We start from the raw sequence: 24,709 nt of genomic DNA, 5'->3' as shown, positions 1-24,709 counted from the left end.
GTACAAAATGTGTCAGGAGAGACGCATCCAAAGAAGAAAAATCAACCAAGCTATGGGGACACAGATAGGAGAGGTGCTGCTTTATGTAGTCAGGGAAAGTCTTTTTGGTGAGGTGCAGAGACCTGAATGAAAATCCATTTGCATATCTGTGGGGAGGGCTGACCAGGCCAGGACTGAGACAGGGAGTGGCCTGTTGTGTTTGAGAAGGGTAAAGGGGCTGGTGTGGCAGGGGAGACTGAGCCTGGGGCGGAAGGGTTGGGGAGGTGGCGTGGGTGGGGAGGTGGGCGAGAGAGGACAGCAAACAGGTGGGTGTGGGGAGACCTTGGAGGACCTTGTAGGCAAGGGTAAGATCACTGAATTTTATCTTGAGTGAGGTGGGAAGCCACTGAAAGTTTTGAGCAGAGGAATGGCATAATCTCACATATCACAAAGGATGATTCTGGCTACTGTATAGAGAATATACTATGTGTGCGTGCATGTGTGTGCGTGCATGCGTGCATGTGTGCGTGTGCATGTGTGTGCGCGTGTGCGTGCGTGTGTGTACGTGTGCATGCGTGTATGTGTGTATGTGTGATGGAAAACGGAAGGGTAGAAACAGAGAGCCCACTCCAAAGGCTCTCGCAATGGCCCAGGCAACACACGATGGAGGCTTAGGCCCAAGTGGTCACGCAGGGGTGGTAAAGAAACAGTAGGTTCTGGACATATTTTGAGGGCGAAATTGACATGACTTGAGATGAATCAGAGGCAGGAGAAGGTTGAAAGCTTTCTGCCTGGATATTATGAAGAACGGGGTTGCCATTGATGGAGTAGGGAAGATGAGGAGAGGAGTAGGTTTGGGTGGGGTGGGGTGGGGAGGGGGAGTCAGGAGTTCAGTTTCAGACTTCTTCCATTGGAGATGCCTCTGAGACGCGCAAGGGGGAATGGAGTGGTTGTCTACTCATCTGCGTTCGCTCCCTCGTCAGTAGACTGGATCTGTCAATAGTACCCTGCAATAGGATTCCTGCGAGGATGAAGAGTCAACAGGTAAAAGTGCTTTGTAAGAGCTGGTGGTAGTAACTATTCAAATGTTATTGTCATGAATATCTTTGATTAATGTACATTTTCTGAAGAAATTCATACTAAAAGAAAATACCGGAGTATTTTAGTGCAATAGAACACATAAAATCAGAACCAGAAATGATCCCTAATCTCTGTTAATTCAAACCCTTCTCATTTTACAGGTGAGGAGACCAATGGATGGCCAGAGAGACTCATGGCCAGTCTAGATCCCAGGGGCTGCCCCTGAAGCCTGCACTCTTTCCACAACACAGGACTTCCTGTGTAAAGTTACACTTTCTCCTCCAGGGACTCAGTTTTGAAGGGTGTTTGCTTAAAATCCAAGATGATTTAATGTTTAGCAAGACTTCTCATAGGTTTAATCATCAGTGAGTGGGACGGGCAGTCCCAACCCAGAGAGAGCACGCTGAGTTAATGTTCATATTATGCCTTGTTTAGAAGGGTGGGACATGGGGAGAGTGTTTTAACACTTCATCACCTCCCTGTTGACCTGGCCTCAGGAGCATTGGCCTGGCTTGCTTCATGGGGGTGACTGACCCTGCCAAAGCTCTTTTTTTAATTGTCAAATATCACATGTTCAAGCTTCCTTGGCCACAAGGGCCCATTCAACTGGAGGGACTGGAAGACAAGATAGACGCATCTGCTGTAAAGTTAACGCCCCCATGAACTTGGATGTTTCTAGTACTCGCTGTATTTCATTGTCACCTAAGAGGCTCCTCTTCTCCTCATCTCACCCACGCTTCCCTTGTCCCCCTCCCCTGAACTCCAAGTTAATGCTGCTCAGATCTTTTCTATTCATCTCGAGATGGTGATTAATACATCACTTATACTTGAGTCCTCTTGAAATTCTGAAGTTTCTGCAGGAGGGGTTGTTGGCAGGCCTGGAAATCAGTGTATCAGATCCTTCTCCATTAAGGCCTAGAGAAGCTGTGATTTTTGCCGCAAAGTTGAGGGCCTGGCACATTCCTAGGGCTTTCTAACTCTTCCCAAAGTGAGGACCAGCTGCTGAACCAAAGGAAATGACCCACCTCTCTCCTTTCCATGGGAATGTGCAGTGAGCCAATAACCCTAATGATCAAGAGAGGCTCCACTTTGTGGCTTACCCCCAGCGTATCTTTGCAAGCAGGAGTGGGTGGCCAGGCAATAGTGCCTGATGCAGAGGGGCTGGATTCTGTTTAGAGGTGAGGTGGTGTGGCCAGGAGGAAAATGCATTGACACCGTAGGTTCCCTACCCGGTATCCTATCTCCTCTCTCGCTTGGTAATAATGAATGCTAGTTTTGTTTGTAGCAGGAATGCTACATATTCTTAATAAACCAATGAGATATAAGAGAAGGCTATTGAATGGGGCTTCTAGGAAAGCCATTGCTTTTCTAATAAAAATGTAGAGTCATAAGTAAAAATTTTGATCATGAAGATGAAAGTCTCGTACTAAGGATGGCAAAAACTGAAAAACACAAGGAACTTGAGATTTGGCTGACATCACAGATGTGCTGTATCAGTACCTCACTAGGAGTTACTGTTAGGTGAGAAAACATCATCCCCATTTGACTAAGCTGTGATATCAGTTTTGTTACATGCAGCTGAAAGCAGTCCTAAGCGATGACAGTATCTTACCCCTGCAGCTGAAAGTTTGGCTCTGCCCCTTACCTGTGGTGTAGCATTAAGAACAACATGTGAACTCTCTGAGCCTCAGTGTCTCCATTTAAAAAATGAGGACAATTAATACCTCCCCTGCAGGGGTCCCGAGGAAACTACAGGGAATCCTGTGATTACTGCTATGGTAGGTTTTGTTCATTTGCAGAAGGGGGAGAAGTATGATTTGACAGCATGGGTAAGGAAGGACGGTTTGGAGGGGGAGGAAGTTAACTCTCTGAAGTAATGAGCAAGCCAAGAGGTAGGGAATCTCAGAGGATGCTGTGCTAAGTTCAGTCACCAGGAAGCAGAACCCAAATGTGTCAACCCTGCCTGAGGCAAAAACCTTTCCAGCTATGTTCTCCTTACGTGCTTCTTGCCAAGGCAGGAAACCAGGGTCTGGGTGCGGGTGGGCTGGGTGTGCAGGTGCAAGCACTTGAGAGGCTGCAGCTGGTGAGGAAAGAGAGTCCTGGAGCCCCAGGTAGGTCCTTACATCCTGAGGATGATGCAAGAAGTAGTGAGTATGGGTACGAATGAATTTTCTGTTACTTAGAATACCTGAAACGGGGTAATTTATAAAGAAAAGGAATTTATTTCTTACAGTGATGGAGGCTGAGAAGTCCCAGGTTGAGAAGCTGCAGCTGGTGAGGGCCTTCTTGTTTGTGAGGCCTCTGCAGAGCGTGGACAGGCAAGGGATGCTCTGCAGGGCATCATGTGGCAGAGGCTGAGTGTGCTAATGGGCTCGCTCAGGTCTCTCTTCCTCTTGTAATAGAGTCAGCAGTTTCCTTCCCATGATAACCCATTAATCCATTAACCCATTAATCTACAAATGGATTAATCCATTCCTGAGGGCACAATTCTTCATAATCCAATCACCCCCTAAAGGCCCCACCTTTCAATACTGCCACATTGGGGGCTAAGTTTCCAACATATGAAATCTGGAGGACACAGTCAGACCACAGCATTGTGTCTGCATGTGCCCTGCCAGGCCTTGGGCAGTGGCAGGTCAAGGAGGGCTCTTTTAAAAATGAAAATAGACTTTTATGATTCTTCTGTTAAAAAACCTTTTGCTGCTCCTATGTTTGTGCCCAAGAGTAGGATTGGAAAGTGACAGCAAAGGGGTACAGGGTTTCTTTTGGGGCAGTGAAAAGATTCTAAAATTGATTTTGGTGAGAAATGAAGAAAAAAGGCCATTGAACTGAATTCTATCTCAATAAAGTTTTAAAAAAGAAAGAAAAATGCCTTGCTGGTTCGTCATTACCAACAGGATATAGGCCCTTCTGGAATTGATTTCTACCAGCCTCTCTGCTCTGATCATCTGCAGGGGTCTTTTTGCCCAGTGCCTCTTTACCTCCAGCCACAGGGAACTATTATACCTTTAGTCTCCTATCTGCATCAGGTGTCAGGCCTCTGGGCCAGGGTACCTGCAGTTCCCTCTTCTTTACCTGGCAGAATCCTAGCTCTGGTCCTGCTAGCGGAGCACAGTTAAGCTCCACTACCATTTCTTTGGCAAAGCCTTCCCTGACATTTGTTGCTCCTCACATTCTTGATTCATTTAGCTGTCATTCTCTGCTGCTGAGCTACAGGCAACTTGAGGGCAGGGACTAGGTAGCTTTAGACTTTTTCTCCAATGACATTCCAAAGGCTGTGTGGGTTATGAGGGGGAGTCATCCCAGCAGGAAGTAGTCTGCGTTGCTGACATCATTTAGGATTGCCTTCATACAGTGATCATAAAAAGCATACTGACACTTAGTGTCATCCTGGTGTTTACATTTTCTACAATGTGCCCTCTTGTTGCTTTGCACCCAAGGCTGACCACTCTCACCGTCCTTGCTTGGTACCTATTTAGTGCCAGACCTTGCACATAGTAGCTACTTTATAAATAAGCCAGGGTGGCTACGTTCAGCAGGGGCCAGGCAAAGGCTGGGAAGGGGGTCTTGTTCTAGGGGAAGAAGCAGCCAAAACTGAGGAACACTTAGACCATGCAAGAGAGAGAAAGACTCAGGGCCTTGGTAGGGCTAAGGCAAGGAAAAGGGGACTCGAGAGAGCTGACTGATTTGATGGAGTATTTACCAGGGTCCAGAAGGAGAAGTCAGATGAAAATGTATATGGTGATGTCTTAGATGTGGCTGCTACAATAAATTATCACAGACTGGGTGCCTTAAACAACAAACATTTATTGCCCACTGGAGGCTGGGAAGTCCAAGATCAAGGTGCTGGTGGGTCTGGTGTCTGGTGATGGCTCACTTCCTGGTTTGGAGAGGGTGTCTTCTTGCTGTGTCCTCATGTGGAGGAGAGCAGAGAGTGAGATCACGCTCTCCTGTTTCTTCTTATAAATAACACTAACCCCATTCACAAGGGCTTCATCCCCATGACCTAATTACCTCCCAAAGCCTCCATCTCCTCAAATCAGGGCATTAGAGATTTAGATTTCAGCATATGAATTTCAGGGGGACACAAACATTCACTTCATAGCAGATGACTATTCCTATAAAAAATTTTCCCCGTGTGCCTTTTCTCTAACCACTTTCCCTGTAGATCTGTCCCTGTGTTTTCACTGGTTTTCCATACTGAGAGCTTTGTCTTTCTCATCAGCTACAAAAGGCTCATGTTGGCTACGATGCTGTCTCTAGGGCCTCTAAGAAAAGCAACTGGTTGACTTTTTATAACCCTTAATTACTGAGCACCTACCATGTTTCAGGTAGAGTGCTATGCTAGGGACCTACTGTATATCAGACATAGAACTGGGCACTTTGCATGCATTATCTCATCCCATCTGTTAATAAAACCTAAGAGTATGTTAGCTAGAGTAAGTAACGTTAGCCACTGTAACAAACAACCCCCAAATCTCAGTGGGTTAACACAATGTGATTATCTTTTATTCATATCACAGCCCAGTGCAGCTTGTGTATGTGTGTGTGTGAGTGTGGGTTGGGCTGGGAGGCTCTTCTCTTTGCAGTTTTTCAGAGACTCAGAATCCTTTCTCTCCTGTGGGGCTCTTTACCTTTATTCTCCTGGCTGCATCAGGTGTCAGGCCTCTGGGCCAGGGTGCCTGCAGTTCCCTCTTCTTTACCTAGCAGAATCTTAGCTCTGGTCCTGCTAGTGGAGCACAGTTAAGCTCCACTACCAGAGTCCTCTGCTGGTTAATGGGGAAGAGACAACATGTGAGAGACTGTGGGAAGGGTTTTGGAGGTCAGGCTTGGAAGTGGCATTTAACTCTCCTGTCCATATTCCCTTAGCCAGAGCTCACACACCAGGCACTGCAGGGGATACTCAGGAGTGTTTAGCTGAGTGCCCTGCAAGAGAATGAACTGGATTTGGTGAACACATATCATTACAATCATGACTGTTTTACAGACTGGCTAGCTTTAGCTGTCTTCTGGCCAAACAATGAGCTATTCCCTGAGGGGGAGCTTGTCTTCTGCAATTCTAAAATTCCCTCACTGTGCACAGGTTCTGACACATCTCTCTTGAATTGGATTGAATTGGAAAAGCTAAATCCTGTTGCAGAGTGGTGAGTGATTCTTAAATACATCCTCCTTTCTTTAAGACTTTCTGGTTTTCCACTTCAGCTGACAGCACTCCCCTTCTGGGTTGGAAGGTTGACAGCTGGAATCCCTGGCTTCTGCCCAAGGCTGAAGTTGCACAGTGAAGCTCTCCCTTGCCAGGTGGGCCGCCCAAGGTCCTTTGGAACACTCCTTCTCTGTGGTTTCTTCAGTGAGATAAGAAAAGTCTAATGATGCAGAAATACAAAGGAAGTAGGTCGGAGGAGGAGAACGAAGAATGACTTTGTTAAACCTGGTAGTTTCATCTTTCTAATTGCGGAGAAAGGATGGATGCATATCCCAAAGCAGAGAGTTACCTACTTGGGATGATCTGATTGCTTTAGGGGCACATTTCCCCCATCGTTACACAGACAAACTCAAGCTCAGGTTCAAGTGTTGGTCTTGACCCCCGTGTCCCCTTGTCTGCTACATGCTTGATGTTATACGTGATCCTATAGAGACACGTCATCCTCTTCATCTTCATCTGTCCTCTCACTGGGAAAAATAGCCCATGACATTTCACATTGTTTCCTGGCCCGATGTTTGACTCAGCAGTGCCTAAATGAGGCTTGCTTTCTTTTTTTAATTGTGTTTCCTTTTTAAAATGACCTAATCGGTGATTATCACTGTGGATATCTGAGAAGAATGGACAAAAATGAAGGTGAGAATGGTAAACGGCTTCCACAGGGGGAGAAAAAGGCCCCAGAGAGCGAAAATCATCAAAAACAAAGACTGGAGATATGGTTTAAAGAACTTCATCATTATTAATTTAGGAAGCTTAAAGAGGGCTGGCGACAAGGAAAGGGCGGTAAAAAAAAATCCTAATGATAAGCCTGCCAAGCATGTTGAAGGTTATCCAGGCCTCTGGGAGCCAGAATGATTGCAGCCCTTTACTTCCTTTGTTCTTCCACCGGGGCCGGTGGGCACTCCTTCTGTAGGAGGCAAGGATGGGGGATAGGAGGATATGGGTGAGCAGCACGACCCTGCAGGGCCCTGACCTGTCCCTGTGGGTTGTTGGCAGGGTTCTGAGAAGGCTCAGCAGTGCTAGGAAGTCTAATGGGGCTTCCTAATCAAATATGGAGACTGCTTCACAGCGAGCCTGGCAGTGGCATTGACCCATGAGAATGGAAGCCACCTATCATGCTAAGTCAGGGCACTGGCAGGCTCCTCTTGTGCCAGCCCTTGCCCAGTTAGTAGAGTTGCTGAGTTGGGATCATCTGGGGGTTTTAGAGAAGGGTAGGGACAGCTTGGGGAAGAAAGGTAGGTGGGAGAAGGACTTGGGGAGTGTATTTTGGTCAACCAGTAGGCAGTATTTCAATATCTTAACAGCTAGTCCAGTTGTCCCAATGTACAGCAGCTGGATTTCTGCCTTGGTAACTTCACCCCTGTAATTTGCACTGCTGTAGGGATCGAACCACAAAATAGAAATGGATCTCCTTGGCAAAACCATTCATCGGTTCTACTGGAGAGAGTTAATCAGGCATCATAGCTCACAGTTCTCCATAATGCATATTTCAGGGAACACCAAGGCTAGTCACCCTTGACTGCTGCGGTTTTTAAAAATGTGTATTTCCTTAGGGTGCTGCGTCCTTTTCTCCATGGAGCCCTCTTTGGTCCCTTTCCCTCTCGGGGCTCATGCTCTCCAGTCCTCATGCCGATCCTGTGTATTTTAATCAAAGGCAAGGAGTAGGTAGCTCGTGGGTTGTCATGAGGATGATAGGATGTGAAATGACCACTGTATTGTTTTCATCTCTCCAAGACAGCAGCCTGGTGTTGGGCATTGCCAGCTCATTAGAGGATGTCACTGAGAAATGCAAAATAGCCAACTCCACATTATCAACTCCTTCCAATTCCCTCAGCACAGAACATCAGAGCTGGAGCATGCTAATCTGATTTCATCACTTGGGCAGTGGAGGTTTTTATTGAGCTCACTCAGAGGTGGCTGCAGGGCTTAAAAAAAAAAAAAAAAAAAAATCCAGGCCTTTTTGGGTGGGCAGAGGAAGGATGTGTTTGCAGACAGCAGGTGTGTTTCCACCTATATATTACATCTAATATATAACCTGCCTTGTTCCAAGAATGGTTTAATGCTGTTCTCAAACTGACATGCTTCTGCTTAAACCCAAGATAGGTAACTCCTATATATTAAAGTTTTTAAGAGAGGAGAAATTTAGGGCTAACAATTCCCTACATAAAAGAATTCTTGACTTTAAACAAATAACCTATCTTTTGACTCTTCAATGTAAGTTAAATTTCCTGAATTTATAATAAAGGAAGAGACCCTTTTACTGGCACAGAGTGGGTTCAGAATTGCCCCACAGTTTCTCACCTTCTCCCCCAAAATATGCTGATTGCAGAGGACCCTGACTCTGCATCCCAGGAGTCAAGCAGCAAGTTCAGTGGGACCTGGAATTTCTTCAAAGTCACATCTTTTAACGTTCAAATGGTAAATCTTGCATGCTATTCCATCATCGATCTGTTTTTAATGTAAAATGATGTCTTTGATTTTTTAATATCAAAGGGGATCCCTTCTTCACCTCCCTACATTTTAGGTAAAGTTGATCCATCCCTTCCTTCCTTCCTTCCTTCCTTCTTTCTTTTTGAGACGGAATCTCACTCTGTTGCGAGGCTAGCCCAGGTTCAAGCGATTCCCCTGCCTCAGCCTCCCAAGTAGCTGGGACTGCAGGTGCCCACCACCATGCCCAGCTAATTTTTGTATTTTTAGTAGAGACAGGGTTTCACCATGTTAGCCAGGATGGTCTCGATCTCTCGACCTCGTGATCTGCCTGCATTGGCCTCCCAAAGTGCTGGAATTACAGGCGTGAGCCACCGCGCCCGGCCAACACTTCTTATGGAACTTTTAGTGCACCCTTTTTTTCATAGTCTCTGCCCATAGGTACTGGTTTCCTTCAGGAAACACCAGCTCACACTCATTTGTGCTGCCAATTCAGCGAAGAAGAAGGGGCCTGAAAGAGTCCTGGCCTCAGAGGGACCAGAGGCCTGAGGGCCTCAGAACTCCAGTTCCATGTTGTCTTGGTCTCCAAGATCCTGTCTGTTTTATCATTGTCTCCTCACTATTGGGCTTTGGAAACAGTCTGTTCAATTCCCAGCCCTACTGATGGAGAGAAAGAATCTGGAGACAGGAGTGGATATATATTGCCAGCTTTCAAAATTTTCCATTTGCTTTGAGTTTGAGTTGGGGTAAAACCACTCTCTTGAGTCCCAGTTTTTCTGTGTGTAAAATATAGCTCAGAAAATTCCATCCTTAGAGTGAAATCTAATATTATGAGGGCTATGTGTGTCTTAAAATGTATGAGTCCCCCTAAAGCCCCAGTGATGATCACTAAATACCACTTAAAGTAACCAAAGGTCCTTGAAGAAGTGGTAGATTCCAGTCTAGGACAGCAAATATGTAAGATGTGCCTAGAGAATCTTATAATCCCAAAATGCAAGCAGGCTTTTAAAGCACAATAGGCTGTGCCAAAAAGACTCAGGAACCAATTTGAAGAAGCTCATACTATCTAAAGACAGGACAATTTAGGCGTCAGTAAGATAATTACTGCAAATGATTACAACACATCCAATTCCTTTATACCTATGAGTTCATAAATGATTCTTAAAAAAACAAAGAATCTCATTGGTCACCTTTGGAGGAGTCTAGAAAACTGCCTCATTATTTTGATAACTGATAAATGAAAGAATTGAGCACTTACTTACATTTACCATATGAATTCCACCTCAGGAAAACCAAGTAATTGATTAGGAAGTTTTTCTTTATATAAGTGTGCCAGCTAACAAATAAAAAGTAAATGACAGAAATAGAATATAACATTTTGCAACCCCAAATGAGTAAATGGATCCAGCCCTGGGGTTCTCAGCTTAGCACGGGTCACATTTTGGGTAAGATCATCCTTTTGTGGTGGGGGCTGTTCTGTGCTTTGCAGGACATTCAGCAGCATCCCTGGCCTCTACCCACTGGATTCCGGTAGCATCCAGCATCGCCAGACATTGCCACATGTTCCCTGGGACTGTAAAATCACCTTTGGTTGAGACACTGCCATAGGTGATCATCACCAATGGCGGCTAATCACAAAACGAGGGACAACCAGACTTTATGTCACTCCTGATGGGAGTATATACGACCACCTTTGAAGTTTTTGCCAAAAAAACACAACCAAAAAACCCTAAAAAAAAAAAAAAAACTGATCTGAACTAAGCCTCTATATCTAATTTCATTTTACAGGACAAGAAATATGAGGCACACACGTGTGTGCACACACATGCACACACACAAGGCAACCAGCACTGCAGGAATGCAATCAGCAAAATCCAGACTGTGTCAAATGCTAAGGGCAAATGACATGGTTTATTGAACAAAAATTGCAAGGAAGAAGCAATGATGGGGGCAAGCTATAAATTAAAAGAGTCTTATAATAAGGGGCATAACAACAAATTGCACGGTGTGGCACCTCAATAGGATCCCAATTTAAACAAATTGTTAAAAAATTCTAAGATTCATGAGGAAAGGTAAACTTTGACAGGATATTTGGTGATATTGAGGAATTATTTTTTAAAGATGTTAGTATGGTATTGTGGCTATGTGTTTAAAAAGTCCTCATTCCTTTAGAGACATAGCTGGATAATTATAGATGAAATGATGCGATACCTGGGATTTGCTTTAACATGATCCAGAAAGGTGGTGCACAGATGCACTAAGATTGGTCATGTATTGATAATTAATGAAGGTGGGTGATGGGTCTATCAGGTTCATTGTGCTATTATCGACTTAAACAATGTTGTATTTTTTTTCTTTCTAATTTGGTCTGGAGGTCTCTCTCTGGAGAGTAGTTATTTGGTTGTAGATGTTTACAATGTGCCTTTCACAAGGTACTTCTTTATCCTGGTGGACGGCCTCATGCCTGAGTGTCTCCACCTGTGACCAGGTGTCCCTCTCACAGGAAACTCACTTATACTTGTGCTCTCGTCTGACCTGTGTCTAGCTTATTCCTACTAAGATAGCCACGCTCTAGGAGAGCCCTGAATGGGAAAGAAGTTAGTTAGGTTTGAGTGTGTCAGTCAGGTAAGACCCAGAGGAGGCAAAAGAAAATGCATGAAATAACTGAAGCAGTGTATTATTTACAGATCCTGGAGAGAACAAGACAGCAACCTCAGGGCGAATGGGAAGAGGAGAGCTGTCTGGGACATATGTGCTCGACCAGTGGGTTGGAGACTGGGGAAGGGACTTGTGGGCCAGAGCCTTTGTTGGGATCCAGGGAATTACCCAGATGGGTTTCCCTTGAGGAGTTGTCATTGGTGGATTTAGAGCAAGCAGGCAGGAGTCCCACCAGCTAACGTTATGACTGAGAAGTGGTCGTTGAGTCATATCTGCATAGTCCGCCTGGGGTGCGGGGTCAGGGTGAGTCAAGTGGGCTGTGTCTATATGTCCCATAGGAAGTTGGCTGCCAGGAGGCAGTTGTGTAAGGCAGATACGTGGATTCATCACATTGAGGAACTGGGAGGAGGCAGAGAACTGGAAACTGTTTCACATGCTTCTGGTATGAGAAAGTCCAACTTATATTTAAAATGGATGATGAAACATAATATCTATATATATTTTTCTGAGATGGAGTTTCACTCTTGTTGCCCAGGCTGGAGTGCAATGGCACGATCTCTGCTCACTGCAACCTCCGCCTCCCAGGTTCAAGCGATTTTCCTGCCTCAGCCTCCCGAGTAGCTGGGATTACAGGCATGCGCCACCACACCCGGATAATTTTGTATTTTTTTCTTTTTTAGTAGAGACAGGGTTTCTCCATATTGGGCAGGCTGGTCTTGAACTCCCGACCTCAGGTGATCTGCCCGCCTTGGCCTCCCAAAGCGCTGGGATTACAGGCCACCGCACCCGGCCCCATAAATTTGTAAGACCTTGCTACACTTGTGTTTGACTATTTTCATAATGAAAAGTTAGAAATAAGAATGCACTCTCAGAGAAAGTCCCAACATTAAGAGAAGGTTGTGTTTAGTCCATCCCCTCGGCTTTGCCCCATGGGGACCCACCTGAACACACGCTAGCCAATGTGGGTTCTGTTTTCTGCCCTGGAGCCTGTCTGTAACAGGAAGCTCAGGAGTGAGTAGAGATGAATAGAAGGGTCAGGCCCTGTCCTCATGTTAATTAGCTATTCATCGTAAGGAATGGATTAACTGATTCATGATTTTCATAAATTTATTGGCCCTCCAGTTAATGAAGATCCTAATGCAGTATCTTTTGGCATACATCATTCCTTTGCGGGACTGGCTTGTCCCTTTCGGCAGACTGCCGAGCTTGGCTATGCAGAGAATGACAGCTGCTCACATTTTGGGCTTGAGGGAACTGGTGTGTCCTGTACAGAAGGTGGAAGGAGGCGGGAAACCTGGAGAAACAGGCTGGAAAGGGTAAAAATGTCCCAGTGAATTAATAATGCATGTGCACTTCCAGCACGCAGGCTGGCACTGAGAGGCTTGCTGTTTTCTGTCGACATCTGCACATCAGGATAATGGTTTTGAAGGGTTAACCTAGGGCTACTCTGTCTCTCCTTCCAGCTCCATCATTCTCCTTTTGCCAGCCCCTCCCTCCCCCAAAGCAGCCAGGCCATCTAATGCTTGTTGCCTCAGGGGACGGATGTGGTAGGAGGGAAAGCAAATAGCCTGGGTGCCTTTTGCTGACTTACACGTGTTTCAAAGGACTGCGCCCTTAGGGAGAAATGTCAGAGGATGAGATTGGCTCCCTACACCCGTCCTCATCCTCAAATCTAGATGAGGTTTCCCTGGGGTTAAGAAAGAAGGAAAGACAGTGGGTAAAGCATGATCTTATGGAGAGAGTAGCCTGCATTCTACTTCCTGGAGCTGGCTGCAGAGTCAGACCAGGATGGGGGCGGGGGGCCTCAGCAGACATTGCAGAAACTCCCAAGCCCCAGTGTGGCACAGGCCAGGCCAGGACGATTCCCCCCGCCCTCCACTCATCTGTGCTTAGACTGGTCAGGAGAGCCAGTGGGCCAGGAAGGCAGACAGAGGCAAAGGATGTCTCAGGGGACCTGTGGGCCAAAGGCTGCCTCAGCAGCCACCTGCACAGGCAGGTGGCAGCAAGAACCAGGTGACAGCCCCTTTGACATTGCACTAGGCTGCACTAGGCCCCCCAAGGCCGAGATGCATAGCCATTACATCAAAAACATCCCAGTGGAAGAGAGCAACAGTAGGTAGTTGTACATGATCTCATATACGTACTATCACTCAAGACAAAAACAAAACAAAAAACCACCGAAACCTCAAACCAAAATATACCAAAATATACAAACAGAAAAACCACTCTCTTCCTAAGTAAAAAAACAGACATTCTTTAGCATCCAAATGAACTCAGAAAATTAGAGAAATACAGAATAACACAAAGAAGAAAATGAAATCTACCTATCAGTTTATCAAATATATATCATTTTAATATTTTTATGCCTGTATTGTATAGATGAAAAAAATTGAACTCATACTGTATATGCCTTTTGTATCTTGTTTTATTCACTTAAACAGTGAACATTTTCCTCTTCTATTAAATACGCTTCTCTAAAACACTTTTAAAATTTAGCCAATACCTTGTATTGGTGTTTTAGGTTGTCCCAAGTTTTGTTATGTACATTATGTTTTTATGACAAATAACCCTTGGACATAAATGATTTTGCACATCTCTGTGTTTTTAAGCCATTAAATATAGTCATGTACCATGTAATGATGTGGCAGTTAATGATGGACTGCATATATGATGGTGGTACCATAAAATTATAATACAATATTTTTACTGTACCTTTTCTATGTTTATTTTTTTAATTTATTATTATTATTTTTTGAGACAGAGTCTTGCTCTGTTGCCCAGGCTGGAGTCCAGTGGCGTGATCTCTGCTCACTGCAACCTCCAGCTCCTGGGTTCAAGCAATTCTCATGCCTCAGCCTCCCGAGTAACTGAGATTTTACAATCATGTGCTACCATGCCCAGCTAATTTTTGTGTTTTTAGTAGAGACCGGGTTTTGCCATGTTGGTCAGGCTGGTCTCAAACTCCTGGCCTCAGGTGATCCGCCTGCCTCAGCCTCCCAAAGTGCTGGGATTACAGGTGTGAGCCACTGCACCTAGCCCTTTTCTATGTTTAGGTATATTTAGGTACACAAATCCTTACCATTGTGTTATAGTTGCCTACAGTATTGAGTACAGTACCATGCTGTGTAGGTTTGTAGCCTAGGATCAATAGACTACACCTTCTAGCCTAGTAGGCTACACCATCTAGGTTTGTGTAAGCTACTCTGTTGATGTTCGCACAACAATAAAATTGTCTAATAGTGCATTTCTCAGAATGTAGTCCTGTTAAGTGACCTGTGACTATATTTTTGAAAGAGTTGTTTATCCTTGTTATCTTCTGGTTGTTTTCCATTTACACTTCTCATTATCTCCTCAATACACAAACGCTGGTCCCCATCACTCTATAGTAATGGATTAGGAAGAGGATAGCATTGACCTCCAGGGTGCAAAGCCAGTGGTCTCTTCTTTGTATTAACTAATGCCCTGGCACTCTCCCTGAAACCCCTGCTCTTTTGACCTCAGGGATGCTATGATCACTTAATTTTCCTCATTCTCCCATGATTCCTCTTTTGCAGCCTCATTTGCTTGCTTATCTTTTTCACGTTCTCTTTAAACTGGCACAACCCAACATGCTCCCATCACCCCTCCTATTCTTCATCCTCTTCCCCCAAAAGGGTCCCCTATGCCTAATGTGCAGAAGACTGTCAGGCACTCCATGCGCTTCCAACAGCTCAAGGACTTACCCATTGCTTATTCTAGAGGCAACTCTGACCCAGGGTAACCCTGCACAAACCAGAGACTCATGCGGTCTAGTTTCAAAGGGAATGCTGAATTTAGGGAAACTGTCTAGCCTCCAAAGGAATTTAAAAATAACCCAAATCCTTTATTCCCATTTTCAAAGATCATCAAAAATGGAATCCAAATACAGAGTTCACAGCAAATGATTCTTCTCCTACTTTGTTCTCCATCCCAGCTTCCCCTGCCAATTATTCAGAGTCTCTTAACTCTTCAAATCCTAGAAAACGCTCTCATCCCTCTCCATCATTCCTTACTCTCATGACTTTCTTCTCCTGATTGCAGGGCTGTCACCATCTTGCACTGCCAGCTGTCCTCTCTGAAGGTTGAACTCCTAACAGAAGTTTCCTCATGTTTGTGGTAGCAGCACCTTGAGAAGTAGAGAAGACAAGAAGAAAAAAGGAGTCAGCACAGATGACAAGCTCTGCTTTTTAGTGTACATGGTCTTCCCCAGTATGCACATTCTTTTCCTATTCTTGACTTATCTCCCTTAACGATAAAATGGCCAAGTTAGAAACCCTAGACACTCTTATTCTCTTTTCTTTCTTTCTTTCTTTTCTTTCTTAAGAGACAGGGTCTCATTCTGTCACCCAGGCTGGAGTACAGTGGCACAACTGTAGGTAGCTCACTGCAGCCTGAAATTCCTAGGCTCAAGTGATTCTCCTGCCTCAGCGACTTCGGAGTGGCTGAGATTCCAAGCTTAAACCATTGTGTCCTGCACTTCTCACTTTCATGGCTGTTATCCTGGGGGTCATCAACTTTTCTAGATCTGATTACAGAAATGTCTCTTCTTTTTTCTTTATTGCTGCTGTTAAAGCTTTGATCCAGATCTTTCTCAAGTCTTAGTTATTTTAGAGTCTGTTAGCTGATTTTCCTGACATGCATCTCTCTCGGTCCTCTAATCTTCCATGTACACTGCTGCTGCTGCTGCTGTGAAGCAGATCTGGTCACCTCAGTCTCTTGGTTGACAATCTTGCATTGCTCCCCATTGCGTGCATATGGCTGAAAGTCCTTTCTTTGGCATCGACAGTCCTTCATATTGTCTTTCCTTCAGGATGTCCCTCTCATTACTCTTCTCCATGGTGCCGCAGCTCTCTCACATTGTCTGTTCACTGCTCCCCAATCCTCCCTTCACTTTCACTCTTTGACTTTCTGTTCATGATGTTTGTACTTCGTGGAACACCCTCCTGCCCTCTCTAGCTGGGTGACTCCTTCACGTTCTTCAAGGCCCAGCCTTGCTGCTTCCTCTTTCATGAAACCACCTCAGTGCTATTTTCCAGCTCAGGGGCTTTCCACTTTGTGCTCACAGGAATTTGTTTGTGCCTTTATGATGTCACTTATCACACTCTGTTTATCTTTCCTACTACATTGTAAGCTCAAAAGCAGGAGCATTATTCGTTTTGGAAAAATCTCCAGTACCCAATCTGTAGAAGTTGCTACATAAATGATGCCTTATTCACACGCAAACAAATTAGTGTTTATTCACCTTCAGCGTGCCTCTTCATCATATTATTGTGTGAAGCCTGAAAGAACCTCTGATTCTTGCTTGAAGGTGGAAGAATTTCACTCTAAACAGCAGCTAGGCTATCTGAATGAGGCAGCAGAGGAAATTTATTGGTGTAGAAAGAATGCAGTGGGGTCAGTGCTGCTGTGCAGCAGATCTTTAGCCAGCTGTAAACAAGCCTGCTATGTGTGAAAATAGAGACTTACAAAGCAGGTGTATTAGAGTACCGTTTTTCATCTTGTCAAAGGAATCATCTTTGCATTTGCTCCTCTTCTCTATTCTGTATCATAATCTGTAACACACAAGGGAATAGCCATTAGAAAATTCTGTCGATTTTCTCTCCTAAATCTCTAATTTGATGACTTTCCTCTATTTCTCCTGCCTATGCTCTCGCTGTTTTCTTTCCTCTTCTAGATTATTGCAACCTGTCTGACTAGCTTCAGGCTTCAGCTTCAATAGCACTTCCTTTCAAACCTTTTCTACCCTCCAAGACTGGGTTAGGTGACTTGCCTGCATGCTCCTATACCATAACTGCCTTTAAAAATTTTTCCTTATCTCTTATCAGACTCCAAGTTTCTTAGCATCCTGAGCTCATTCATCTTTTTACTTCCGTTGCCTGCACATAACAACTGCTCAGTAAATATTTATTGCATGAAGGAATTACAAAAGTATATATCCAAATATTTTGAACTCTTTTGTTTTTGCATGATATCTACTAATTGGAGCAAGACACATTTATATTTTGATGTGGAAAACCAGGCTGCTTAATGAAATGAATTTCACTGGCTTAGCAAGTAGGCGTTTTGTTTCCGCCTTTGTCTTTGACTTTTCAATACCAATTAAGATTTGCATAATGTAAACATGTATTGAGAGTTATGTCTTGGGGTGGGGCTAGGCACTTGCACATCCATTCTCTTTCTTCCCCATAGTTTTTCATCAGTTAATTGCAGATAGTAATTATATCTGTTAGCAAATAGTGCTGTAAAGAGTGACTTTTCATCTTGAAAGAATGTATGTGCTTCCCTAATCACCTGAGTTATTACTAGAATGTTATTTGTCCCCTAGGAGGACTAAGCCAGGTATTGCAGATGGTTTCCCAGTCCCTTAATGGAAACACATCTATCCACCCATCCATTCACAGCCTCAACATTCTCAGAAGAAATCCTCAAGTTTCACATTTTTAAAGAAATGAGGACAAGTGTTATATTTTTAAATACCTTTACAAGTCATTCTCAAAAGCGTTATCTCTTCCTTTCTACCTATGTGAGTGACTTCCAGCAATTTGATTTTGCTTTTAAATTGAACAGGAGGAATTTGTATGAATTCTGAGGGGGATATGAAGTAGCTTTTCAAAATTAAAAGTGAAAAAAAAAAAGACTCCATGAAAAATAGGACCAGAGACAAAACAGAATGTTTTAAGTGAGATTTGTATGCAGGAAAGTGAAAATCAAGTATTGATTCTCCTCTCATTTAGCTGCAGATGAAATCTCCTGGATTCTTGTACCCTCCAGAAAAGAGGGATGGGTTAAGATTCATGCCAGCAAGCCATTCCAGTTCTCCTTGCCTGGCAGCAGCATCCAAGCTAGGATTCCTGGAAGAGAAGTTTGCAGCCCCAGGAAACCAAGGCATTGACCTGGGCTGTCAGTGGCAGCTTAGGCGAGCTACGGAGAAATTACAGATGGAAAGAGGAAATGCTTGTCCTTCTTCCTTTGTCAAACCATGTAAAACAAACTGGAACAAGATGCTGTTCTGTTCTGTTCTGTTCTGAAGATGTGAGTGAGAAGCACTTGTGACAGAAGACATGAATTGAGTGAGATCTTAAAAGATTGCTCACAGGGCAGCGGAAGAGGAGAAGGGAGCTGGAGTCCAATCCTCAAAAGGAAGGAGGGATGAACCTGCATCTGTGATGAGAGAGGCTTGGAATGAGGCCACCAGGCACGTGAAGGGGAAGTTACAGGACTGCCTCTGAGTCGTTTGGCCTCAGGGGATCTTGGCAGCCCAAACATCATTCTCTGTGGTGAGAGATACTAGAAGACCACAAAGCAATGGGAACAGCGGGGCCATGTCAAGTACACCTCCTCCTTTTTGATAAGGTTATTTACTTGAGACCAGAGCTTATAGAGTGTGGACCCTAGAGAGTCTGGGGAGGGTTAAGCTCTGTGTGTTGAGGAGAAGAGAATACATTTTTGTGAGTGTCGGTGCGACGGGTGGAATTGTGTTTCTCCTCAATCCATATGTTGAAGTCCTAACCTCCAGAACCTCAGAATGTGACCTTATTTGGAGATAGGCTCTTTACAAAGGCAATTAAGTTAAAGTGAGATCATGAAGCTGGTCCCTAATCCAATATAACTAGTGCCCTTATTAGAAAAAAAAAAAAAAGCAAGTTTGGACAGAGAGAAACACACATAGACAGAACACAATGCGAATATGAAGATGGCCGCCTGCAAGCCGCAAAGAGAGGCCTGGAATACATTTTTCCCTCACAGCCCTCAGAGGGAAGCCACCGTGCCTAAACCTTGATCTTGGACTTCCAGCCTTCAGAACTGTGAGACAATACATTTCTGTTGTTTAAGCCATCACATCTATTGTACTTTGTTACAGCAGCCCTGGCAATTGAAGGTAGTTGGTGCTGGCAGCCTCTTCCTTCCATCAGAGGACACAGAAGAGAAGACAAGGATCTAGAGACTCTGTAAAGCAAAGATGGGTTTCTTCTGGTGCTGTACCTGGAAACCGCAACAGTATTTATAGAAGTGACACACTGGCTCAGACCTCAGCTGATCCAGTGATTTCTCTCATCTTAGCAAGCAATGTTCATTGGCCTACAGTAATCGTGCATTTGCTGCATGATCAGTTGTCAACTGGCCAGATAACCTACTAGGCACATGATTCTGTGCCCATCTGCAGGAAAACACCAGAGAGCTGGGCTGAGATGCAGTGAGTGAGAGCTGGGCTGAAAGTGTTCCTTGAGGTTTGCCTGAGTTTCTCTGAGCCTGCTCTCCTCAGTCCAACCACAGTCACTTCTGATTGTGAGGGTTGGAAAAATCCAAAGCTTGGGCTGAAAAGGTTGCCTAAGATGTGTTCTGTCTTTACTGAGCTGAGCAGAGCCTCTTCATTGGATTTCTATCCATTTGAAGAGAGCAAACCGTTAGAAGAGCTCAAATATTGATATTTCCTCTATCTCTAAGTGATTCCTTGAAAGTATCATTTTTCTTCCTTTCCTTTCCATTTCCTCCTAAAAGCATGTAAAAAATATGAATGCTAATTCGAATACAATTATCCTTATGATGGATCAGTTTACTGGATGTGCCAAATAGATGCTTATCATCAGAATGATCTGGCATCAGCATAATCAACTATTTGTAGGAAAAACATGAGAGAGAGGAAGACAGGTGAGCCAACACACCAGTTAGAATGTACACGTACACTGAATTTGGACACGCTCCATACTCTTCTTCACTCAGGTATCCATCAGAGTGCTCACCTTGTCAGTGGCTGTTGCTGTAAGTATGTGTCTTACATCCAGCGTCTTCTCTAGGTTTCAGATGCAATGAGGTGTTTCCAGGCTCTGCTACTCAGTTAAGTCCCACAATGCTGATAGGGCTATTGGAACAGTCAATCAAAGTAAAAGAAAAGAGAAAAAGTGATGGGAATCAGAAGCAAAGAGACATGCCCAAAGGCAAAGAGCTCTGTAGAGGTGGTGGATTTGGACTTGTGGCACGTTATTCAAATATCTTCTTCCCACGGGCCCCCCAAATTATTTGTACAAAAGACCTTTCGACCCATCAAGGAGAGGTCCCTGCAAGCTTTGCTCTTCTGAAAGACAGTGCAGCATGGTGCTTCACAGCATGAGCTTTGGAGTTAAGCCAACTTCAGTTGTAATCCTGGATCCACCATTTACTAGGTTTGTAAGTTATTTTTAACATCTTGGGTCTCAGTATTCTTAAGCTTAAACCTTAACCTTAACCTTCAAATGGTCGCAAACCCATCATCAATAAAATAGAAAAAATAAATTGTGGTGTGTTTCTATAATGGAATATTCTACAACTGTAAGGATTAATAATCTATAACTATACACAATCCACAGTACAACAGCACAATACAACTACTCACAAGAATATGGATGAATCTACAAGCATAATGTTGAGTGAAGGAAGCTGGATATGAAAGGGGAAGTTGTAAAATGGCATTTATTTAAAGTTGAAAGTTTGGGGAAACGACTTTATGTGATTAGACGTTGGGATAGTGCTTGCCCCTGAGGGGTGCGGCTGGATGGAGGCATGAGAGGCCTGGAGGTAGGTATTCTGTGTCTTGTTCTGGGTGATGGTTACTCGGGCCAGTTCAGAGTGTGAAATTCATTGAGTTTCATACTTAAAATATGTGTAACTTTCTGTATGTGTGGTATACTTTAATAAGATTTTTTAAAAAGTAGATCATTTTGGTGCCCAACTCATAGAGATGTGAGGATTAAATGAAATAATGAATGTATAATAAAACACCTAGTGATAGAAAATGCTTAATATATGTTAGGCACTTCTTCTTATTATTCTCATTACCCTGATGCAGGAATTGGTGACAAATATCATTTGTTTGCCAGCGACCTGTCTCATCTGAGTAAGCCTGTGACACTCTGGGGTTTTAAAATAGGACGGTAAGAGGCCACTTCCTTGTGAGAAGCAAACCCCTTTCATCCATTGGGTCTCATTCAGAGGCATATATTCTATGGGGAAAAGAATAAGGAAAACATTCAGCTCTGAGTACTCTGATTTGAGAAAAGATAGCTCTCTAAGTATTTTCTTCAGTTTGATTAAAAACAAAACAAAAACCCATCCTGTGTCTTCCTGAATGTGCAAAAATAACTTGGCAGAAAAAAGTAGGCTAGTTTCTGCTGTTCTTAAACTGGTTTACACTTCCTCTAGTTTCCTCCGTAGATGAAAATAGCAGTTTAATCTCTTGACAGATAAACGCCTTTCAAAGTACTAGCTCCATTTGGAGCTGTTGCTCTTCATTGTTGATTTTCTATAATACAGATGTTTTTGGCATAATGTATTATATTCTCCAGAATGTCCTCTGTCAGCTCCGTAAAGAAGACAAACAGCAGCCTAATCTTGAAAACAGGGCCTCTCTATGAACTAGCTGACATAAGCTCATTTGAGCTTCACCCCGCATAAGAATTTTAATAAACAAACCTCGCTGGTCAGCATATTGCTCTAGCATATTTAAACATACCACATGCTTTCAGCTCCTCTTCACAGTTCTGCAGCTTTTGCATGAAACGAGTTCTGGTTAACAGAATTTAATGAGTCTGAGCGGGGGGAAAAGTCTCTCCACATGCAATGATAAAGCCACGGTGGGACAGCGTTAAAACAGCAGGGCTGCAGCGGGAACCAAGGTTTGAGATTCGAGTCTCAGTGCTCGGAACTGCTGTTTCTCAACTGCGTTGGCATAAAGAACCCTGAGGAATCCAGTGTGAACTGTATTCCTGACCCACGGGACCTGCTCCATGTGTGTCTCTACCTAGTTCTCCTTTTCTCCTTTCTTTTACGTTTTGTGTTGGAACCTTATCTGTTTTTCTGGCTTTTCATTCATCTACCTAGTCTGTTCTTCCGGCTCTTGAGTCAGACTGCCTGATTTCCAATCCTGGCTCAGTCTCTAAAGACCTCTGTGACTTTGTACATGTTATTTAACCTTCTTAGCCTTGGCTCTCCCATCTGTAATATGAGGATGACAGTAGACCTACCTCTTAGGGCTGTTAGGAGGATTACCTATGGTAATGTGCTTGGCTGGCTTGAAGTAAATACTCAGCGAATAACGGCTGTTACTCAGTTTCTTTCTGATTTCATCTCCATCTCTATGTGCATAGTCACTTACACCACCCCAATTAGGAAAATCTATGATAGGGTTTGGATGTTTGTCCCCTCCAAATTTCATGTTGAAATGTGACTCCTGATGTTGGAGGTGGGGTCTGGTGGGAGGTGTTTGGGTCATGGGGGGCAGATCCCTCATGAATGTCTTGGTGCTGTCCTCCCAAAAACTGGGTGAGCTCTCACTCTGAGTTCAAGAGTAGGGTGTGGGTAGGATCTGGTTGTTTAAAAGAATGTGGCACACCCTACCCCTTGGTCTCTCTTGCTCCTGCTCTTGCCATGTGATGCACCGGCTCTCTCTTCACCTTCTGCTATGACTGGAAGCTTCCTGAGGCCCTCACCAGGAGCACATGCCTGCACCATGCTTCCTGTACAGCCTGCAGAACATGAGCCAATGAAACCTCTTTTATTTATAAAATGCCCAGCCTCAGGTGTATCTTTATAGCGATGCAATAGACTAATACAACCCATGATCCAGAGAGATGTGAGTCAGTTGGAGTCAAGGAATTTTAAAATAGAAATTAAAAGCAGAGTTTAGGAGCTAGTGGTTTCTTTTGTTTGTTTGTTTGTTTTTTCAACTGTGGCAGCACTAGTGACATTTTGGGCCAGATAATTCACGGTGGTGGGGGGCTGCATCCCTAGCTGATGCCTGCTAAACCCCAGGAATAACCCCTGCTATTTGTGACCATCAAAAATGCCTCCAGACATTGCCAGATGTCTCCTTGGGGCAAAAGTGTTGCTGATTAAGAACCACTGGACTAGACCAAAGCGCTAATTGTAGAACTACAGCAGGAAGACATGATGAATGAATTATAAAATTCGGGGGTAGGAGAGTTAGCCCAAGGAAAGTGCCTTCCTGACCTTATCCTGAAGCTTCAGAAATACATAGGAGTGGAAGACTGTGTCAAGATCCGACCCACACCTGTACTGACCATGGCAGGTCACTACCTTAATAGGCAAAGACTTCCTGAAAACTTCCAGCTCGTAGGAATGTGTGAAAGCAGAACAATAGAAGAGGAAGGAATTCCCTTCCTAAAAGGCTATAAAAAAGATCAAATCCCTAATCATACCTCTGCTTTCAGATCCAGTCTATCAAGGAATAGTTACAGCATCTCATAAAAGTTTCTTAGTTTTGTTATTTTCCTTCGCAGCTTTAAATCCACATTAGATTGCTCAACTTTCAGCTTATCTTGATGGTGTTAAGTTCATAAGAATTAAATTTCAGAGCTTTTCCATTTCTCCACTTATTTTTATAAAACCATAGGGGGAAAACGCAATAAAAATTTTCAATTAATTGCAGAAACATTGCTGTTCAGACAAAAATGGCAACATCACCCGAACTCAACTGTTGGCTGACAGCACCATCATGCAATAGCTCCGAATGTTCATTTTCCAGCTGATTTATACAGATTTGAATTTGGCATACAAGAACTGGTTGAGAGGTGTCAATGTACAATGTGTGAATGGATGGAGTATACAGAAATTTTCAGTGTACAAAGGTTGAAAACTACTAGTAATTATGACAAGGTGAGATATGGAGCACTAGGTCACCGTGTGTATTTTATCTTAATTAGAATATAAAGACTTCAAGGGAAAGAAAGGACTTTCAAAAAATTCTTCAGAATCATCCTTAGTATGCATGCAATAAACACCTATTAATTTCTAATTTAATGGATAATGGGTGGAATAAAATTAACAATTTATTTGAAACAAGGATGCAAGGCTTAAAAGTTCCTTAAGTGTTTAGATTCAAAATTATTTTGTGCCTGGTTAAGAAATGTCATATGTATTACATATAAGTGTAGATACATAGCTATCTTTAGAGATATGAAGACAGATAAATAGATATACCTGTCACTCAAACAGAAGGGGCAGGAAGGACATTGGTGTGTGGCACAGAATCTTAGTGCTATAGGGCTTTTTGAGAGACTATAATGAGGGCTTGGGGAGTAATGAGGGACCCAGAGAGGACCTTCTTTTTGTCTCTGATCTTTGTTTTTCTCTGGCATTTCTCCTATTCTTCTCTCTCCAGAGTGATTTTCTGCATCTGTAAAAATGCAGGAGATGGCCTCCTTTAAGCTGCCGAGTTCACTTGTCCTCTAGCACCCAACCAGCCCCATTAGCCTAACTACCTTCATTCCAATTTCCAGGAGAGAAAATGTAATTGGTCCAGCTTGGGTCAAGGTGCACCCCGATCCATTCAATTATAACCAGTCTAGTGGGGAG

The 24,709-nt window shown here is 43.7% G+C and overlaps 2 long non-coding RNA genes across 4 annotated transcripts in view, besides 3 other annotated features; one reads left to right on the top strand and one right to left on the bottom strand.

Annotated features, from left to right (window-relative positions):
- The window catches only part of LOC101928354 (uncharacterized), a 131,186-nt gene that overhangs the window by 39,793 nt on the left and 66,684 nt on the right, over window positions 1–24,709 (top strand). The window lies entirely within an intron of this gene.
- Window positions 516–1,051: an enhancer, noted in NCBI's record as "H3K4me1 hESC enhancer chr6:14676877-14677412 (GRCh37/hg19 assembly coordinates)". NCBI's record gives its function as "activates a minimal SCP1, AML or CMV promoter by ChIP-STARR-seq in primed H9 embryonic stem cells {active_cell/tissue: H9 hESC(primed)}" and the evidence as "EXISTENCE:reporter gene assay evidence [ECO:0000049][PMID:30033119]".
- On the bottom strand, window positions 12,434–18,546 carry LOC102724463 (uncharacterized). 2 transcript variants are annotated; one of them, XR_926514.4, is made up of 3 exons: window positions 15,847–18,546; window positions 15,376–15,488; window positions 12,434–12,651 (listed from the first exon to the last, which is right to left on the bottom strand). It is a non-coding gene; the product is annotated as an uncharacterized LOC102724463 (long non-coding RNA). The 2 variants fall into 2 exon arrangements; XR_001744001.2 differs by lacking the exon at window positions 12,434–12,651 and having other exon boundaries at window positions 15,186–15,488.
- Window positions 16,213–16,332: an enhancer, noted in NCBI's record as "active region_24053". NCBI's record gives its function as "activates an Ori minimal core promoter by ATAC-STARR-seq in GM12878 lymphoblastoid cells {active_cell/tissue: GM12878}" and the evidence as "EXISTENCE:reporter gene assay evidence [ECO:0000049][PMID:35858748]".
- Window positions 16,423–16,502: an enhancer, noted in NCBI's record as "active region_24052". NCBI's record gives its function as "activates an Ori minimal core promoter by ATAC-STARR-seq in GM12878 lymphoblastoid cells {active_cell/tissue: GM12878}" and the evidence as "EXISTENCE:reporter gene assay evidence [ECO:0000049][PMID:35858748]".

Source organism: Homo sapiens, chromosome 6 (assembly GCF_000001405.40).
Source record: "Homo sapiens chromosome 6, GRCh38.p14 Primary Assembly".
Lineage (NCBI taxonomy): Eukaryota > Metazoa > Chordata > Mammalia > Primates > Hominidae > Homo > Homo sapiens.
Note: the sequence above shows the minus strand (reverse complement) of the source record. Positions and strands in the feature narration are given on the sequence as shown.